Source organism: Homo sapiens, chromosome 1 (genome assembly GCF_000001405.40).
Source record: "Homo sapiens chromosome 1, GRCh38.p14 Primary Assembly".
Classification (NCBI taxonomy): domain Eukaryota; kingdom Metazoa; phylum Chordata; class Mammalia; order Primates; family Hominidae; genus Homo; species Homo sapiens.
In genome coordinates this window covers 26503513-26509512 of record NC_000001.11, presented here as the reverse complement: position 1 = coordinate 26509512, position 6000 = coordinate 26503513, and the positions used below count along the sequence as shown (strand labels likewise).

At 46.2% G+C, this 6000-nt stretch overlaps 1 annotated feature.

The window, feature by feature from the left end:
- Positions 717-937: a transcriptional cis regulatory region, noted in NCBI's record as "candidate enhancer chr1.3789 targeted for multiplex CRISPR interference". NCBI's record gives its function as "positively regulates LIN28A gene expression with high confidence in K562 cells {active_cell/tissue: K562}" and the evidence as "EXISTENCE:mutant phenotype evidence [ECO:0000015][PMID:30612741]".

The window sequence follows — 6000 nt, the reverse complement described above, 5'->3', positions numbered from 1 at the left end:
TAAAATCAGCTGGGCCTGGTGCCTCGCACCTGTGATCGTAGTTACCGAGGAGCCTGAGGTTAGAGGATCACTTGAGCCTGGGCAATTGGGGCTGCAGTGAGCGGTGATCATGCCACTGCACTTGCCTGGGTGACAGAGCAAGACCCCATCTAAAAAAAAAATTTGATGAAGCACAAGTAAAGTGCAATAAAATGAGGTATGCCTACACTCGTGTGCTGTGCACAGGTTGTTAAATATCTCAAATTACTTGCCATCATTCCAATTTAAAATTAAATTAACAACAAAATAAATAAATAAGATTTTAAAAATACAACTTTCGGCCGGGCGCGGTGGCTCACGCCTGTAATCCCAGCACTTTGGGAGGCCGAGGCGGGTGGATCATGAGGTCAGGAGATCGAGACCATCCTGGTTAACAAGGTGAAACCCTGTCTCTACTAAAAATACAAAAAATTAGCCGGGCGCGGTGGCGGGCGCCTGTAGTCCCAGCTACTCGGGAGGCTGAGGCAGGAGAATGGCGTGAACCCGGGAAGCGGAGCTTGCAGTGAGCCGAGATTGCGCCACTGCAGTCCGCAGTCCGGCCTGGGCGACAGAGCGAGACTCCGTCTCAAAAAAAAAAAAAAAAAAAAAAAAAAAATACAACTTTCTAGCTTCTTTAAAAATACGGGCATCCGGACCCACATTCCTGCTTTATAACCATCAGCAGGAATGGAGTAGCCACCTCTTTCAGATGAGGCTAGTTTGTCACACTGCCATAGTCCCCATTGTCTGAACTCCTTACTCATTTAACTTCCTTATGTTACCCACCTGCTCCTATGGGCATTTGAATTTGGACCTCTAATTTCACCGTTTCACAAATGGAGGGATCCATGCCCCAGAGAAGGAGAGGCTTCCCAATTGACACAGCAGTTTTGTGAGAAGCTGGGTTCCAAACCTCACCTCACACAGTCCTCATAGACTCTTTTTTTTTCTTTTTTGAGACGAAGTCTCGCTCTGTCACCCAGGCTGGAGTGCAGTGGCGTGATCTCGGCTCACTGCAAGCTCCGCCTCCCGAGTTCACGCCGTTTTCCTGCCTCAGCCTCCTGAGTAGCTGGGACTACAGGCGCCCTCCACCAAGCCTGGCTAATTTTTTATATTTTTAGTACAGACGGGGTTTCACTGTGTTAGCCAGGATGGTCTCGATCTCCTGACCTTGTGATCCGCCCGCCTCGGCCTCCCAAAGTGCTGGGATTACAGGCGTGAGCCACTGCACCCAGCCGACTTTTTTTTTTTTTTTTTGAGATGAAGTCTGTCGCCCAGGCTGGAGTGCAGTGGAGCTCGCTGCAACCTCCGCCTTCCGGATTCGAGATTCTCCTGCCTCAGCCTCCCAAGTAGCTGGGATTACAGGCACATGCCACCACACCTGGCTAATTTTTTTTTTTTTTTTTGAAATGGAGTCTCGCTCTGTCGCCCAGGCTGGAGTGCAGTGGCGCGATCTCGGCTCACTGCAAGCTCCGCCTCCTAGGTTCACGCCATTCTCCTGCCTCAGCCTCTCGAGTAGCTGGGACTACAGGCGCCCACCACCATGCCCAGCTAATTTTTTGTATTTTTTTTAGTAGAGACAGGGTTTCACCATGTTAGCCAGGATGGTCTCGATCTCCTGACCTCGTGATCCACCCGCCTCAGCCTCCCAAAGTGCTGGGATTACAGGCATGAGCCACCGTGCCCGGCCTAATTTTTGTATTTTTAGTAGAGATGGGGTTTCGCCATGTTGGCCAGGCTGGTCTCAAACTCCTGACCTCAGGTGATCTGCCCATTTCAGCCTCTCAAAGTGCTGGGATTATAGACGTGAGCCACCATGCCCGGCCCCTCATAGACTATTATGAGTGAACTTGAATGTGGTGGGAGCTCAGAAAGGGAGGTCCCCAACTCAGAACCGAGCTAACCCCTATTTTCTGAGCACCTCCCAATAGCCAGCACTGTGGTGGGCACATACACATTCACACCCCATGTGGTCCTCCAACAACCCCGACAGATCAGCATGGACAACCTCTATCTCTCAGGTGAGTAACTCTGGTTCAGGGAGTTATGGGACTTTCCCAGGATCTCACAGCAAGTTTGTGGCAGGTCTAAGTTCAAATCACTAGCTCTTAACATAAGACTAGAGGAATCCACCGCCTGCTCTCTTCCTGGGACACCCCCTCTCACTCCTGCTTGGATTTTCTTGGGATGGGGCTGGAGTCATCCCAAGAAATTCCTGGCTAAATTTCCTCTCTTCCAGGTGGATGCTGAGGTAGGGCAGCATGAAAGCCAACAGAGGATTGTAAAAAATATTTCCTATATGCTAGGCATGTGCTAGACTTTTTTCACAAGACTTATATCATCTTCTTTGTTCTATCTGCCTTCTCTAAATTTTCCACAATTAACACTTTTTACATCTTGCACAAGGAATTGTTTGTTCTAGGCCTGGATATGATTCTCTGGAAGATAGGGAGATGCTGGGGTCAGTAACTCCATTTTGCAGTTAAGGAAACAGGCTCACAAGGATTGCCCAAGGTCAGACAGCTAGTAAGTATGACTCCAAGGCCTGTACTCTCTCAATTCCACTGCTAGGCCTGCCTTTTTGTTTTTAACACACTGTTCCACAAAGGAGTTCAGGCAAGTCATAAAAATACGTAAGAAAAATTAAGCATTTATATTGTCTGTCTTGTATAAACTATATTTCAAAAGAATCAAATAATGAATGAGAAAATGTTCTTTACATTGAGCTAATGAATGCAAAAAGAATGAGAGAATTAGAAAATTATTTTGCAATAGCTAATAAAATTGAATCATTAGTGGATAATAAAACCAATAGGTGAAAGGTTGATGGGAAATTTTATACTGAAGAGGGCATTAAACCCACTGATCAATCAGTAAAAACGTCAACTAGACATATGTGTCTCCAGATGTGATGTAATAATAAGTACACAGCACTGTTACCAATAAGGTATTCTTTAAACACTCAGGGGGCCAGGTGTAGTGGCTCACACCTGTAATATCAGTACTTTGGGAGGCCAAGGTGGGAGGATCACTCAAGCTCAGGAGTTCAAGACCAGCCTGGGCCACAGTGAGACCTCATTTCTACAAAAATATTAAAAAGTAGCCAGGTGTGGCTGGGCGCGGTGGCTCATGCCTGTAATCCCAGCACTTTGGGAGGCCAATGTGGGTGGATCACGAAGTCAGGCCTTCGAGACCAGCCTGGCCAATATGGTGAAACCCCATCTCTACTAAAAATACAAAAATTAGCCAGGCTTGGTGGCGGGTGCCTGTAGTCCCAGCTACTCGGGAGGCTAAGGCAGAAGAATTGCTTGAACCTGGGAGGCGGAGTTTGCAATGAGCCAAGATCACGCCACTGCACTCCAACCTGGGCGACAGAGTGAGACTCCATCTCAAAAAAAAAGTAGCCAGGTGTGATGGCGTGCCTGTAGTCACAGCTACTTGGGAGGCTGAGGCAGGAGGTCAAGGCTGTAGTGAGCCATGATTGTGCCACTGCACTCCAGCCTGGGCGACAGAGTGAGACCTTGTTTCAAAAAAAAAAAAAAAAGAAATAAATAAAAAGAAACATTCAGGCATTCTTAAATGTAATCAAGCTTCTGGATCTAACTTTCAGTTTGCTGGAAACACAAGGGGCAGAAAAACAAGGTAAAATACACTACTGAGTCTGGGTGCGGTGGCTCACACCTGTAATCCCAGTACTTTGGGAGGCCAAGGCAGGTACATCACTTGAGGTCAGGAGTTTGAGACTAGCCTGGCCAACATGGTGAAACCACATCTCCACTAAAATTACTCAGGCGTAGTGGCAGGTGGCTGTAATCCCAGTTACTCGGAAGGCTGAGGCAAGAGAATTGCTTGAACCTGGAGGCGGAGGTTGCAGTGAGCCAAGATCGTGCCACTGCACTCCAGCCTGGGCAACAGAGCAAGACTCTGTCTCAAAAAAAAAATTCTCAAAAAGTTCTTTATACTGAGCTAATGAATGCCAAAAGAATGAGAGAATTAGAAAGTTAGAAACAAATACACTACTGGGGCCAGGCACAGTGGCTCACGCCTGTAATCCCAGCACTTTGGGAGGCTGAGGCAGGTGGATCATGAGGTCAGGAGTTCGAGACCAGCCTGGCCAAGATGGTGAAATCCCGTCTCTACTAAAAAAAATAGAAAAATTAGCCGGGCATGGTGGCGGGTGCCTGTAATCCCAACTACTCATGAGGCTGAGGCAGGAGAATTGCTTGAAGCCGGGAGGCAGAGGTTGCAGTGAGCCGAGATTGCACCACTGTACTCTAGCCTGGGCGACAGAGCAAGACTCTGTCTCAAAAAAGAAAAAAATACACTACTGGAAAGCAATCAGCCAAATCTGGAATGTAGGAACTTTTACAGGACAAATATTCTGGTTTCTTCTACAACTCAATAGCATTAAAAAAAATGGAAAGAAAAGTGGAACTGATCAAAAGTTACTTAAGAGACACATCAACCAAGTGAAGTGTGTGGATCTTGTTGAATCCTGATTGGAACAAACCAACTATTGAAGAAATTTGAGGCCGGGCGCGGTGGCTCATGCCTGTAATCCCAGCACTTTGGGAGGCCTAGATGGGCGGATCACGAGGTCAGGAGTTCAAGACCAGCCTGGCCAACACAGTGAAACCCCGTCTCTACTAAAAATACAAAAAATTAGCCTGGTGTGGTGGCAGGTACCTGTAATCTCAGCTACTAGGGAGGCTGAGGTAGGAGAATTGCTTGAACCCAGGAGGCGGAGGTTGCAGTGAGCTGAGATCGTACCACTGCACTCCAGCCTGGGTGACAGAGTGAGACTCTGTCTCAAAAAAAAAAAAAAGAAAAAGAAAAAAGAAATTTGAACATGGACTAGGTATTAAATAATTTTAAGGAATTTGCATAAATTTTGTCAATTAGGTGTGACAGTAGCATTGGAGTTGTTTGAAAAAATCTTTTTTTTTTTTTTTTTTTTTTTTTGAGACAGTCTCGCTCTGTTGCCCAGGCTGGAGTGTAGTGGCAAGATCTTGGCTCATTGCAACCTCTGCCTCCCAGGTTCACGCCATTCTCCTGCCTCAGCCTCCCATGAAAAAATCTTATTTGAGATTGATAATGAAATAATTCAGGTGAATTGATATGATGTCTGGAATTTGCTTTATAATACTTTAGAGAGAGGAAAAAGTGGGGAGGTTGATGAAACAAGATTGGCAAAATGTTGATAATTACTGAAGGTGTGTGGTAGGTACATAATAATTTATTATTATTATTTTTTGAGACGAAGTCTCACTCTGTTACCCAAGCTGGAGTGCAGTGGCGAGATCTCGGCTCACTGCAACCTCTACCTCCTGGGTTCAAGCGATTCTCCTGCCTCAGCCTTTCAAGTAGCTGGGACTACAGGCACGTGCCACCATGCCCAGCTAATTCTTGTATTTTTAGTAGAGACAGGGTTTCACTATTTTGGCCAGGCTGGTCTTGAACTCCTGACCTCATGATCTGCCCACCTTGGCCTCCCAAAGTCCTGGGATTACAGGCATGAGCCACCGTGCCCAGCCTGGTAATTTATTATATTCTCTCTACTTTTATGTATGCTTGAAAATTTCCAAAATAAAAAGTTTTTTTTAAAATTTTTATCTTTTGAGACACAGTGTCTTGCTATGTTTCCTAGGATATAATCGGACTCCTGGCATGCACCACTGCATTGAGCTTATTCTTTACTTTTAGCCTTAAAAAATATTTTTATTATACCAAGCCAGGTGTGTATCTATAGTCTCAGCTACTTGGGAGCTTGAGTTGGGAGTACTGCTTGAGTCCAGGAGTCTGAGTCTAGCCTGGGCAACAAAGCAAGACCTCCTCTGTTAAAAAAAAAAAAAAAAGTAAATAAGAGAATTGGGGCCAGGCATGGTGGCTCACGCCTGTAATCCCAACACTTTGGGAGGCCAAGGCAGGTGGATCACTTGAGGTCAGGAGTTCGAGACCAGCCTGGCCAAAATGGTGAAACCC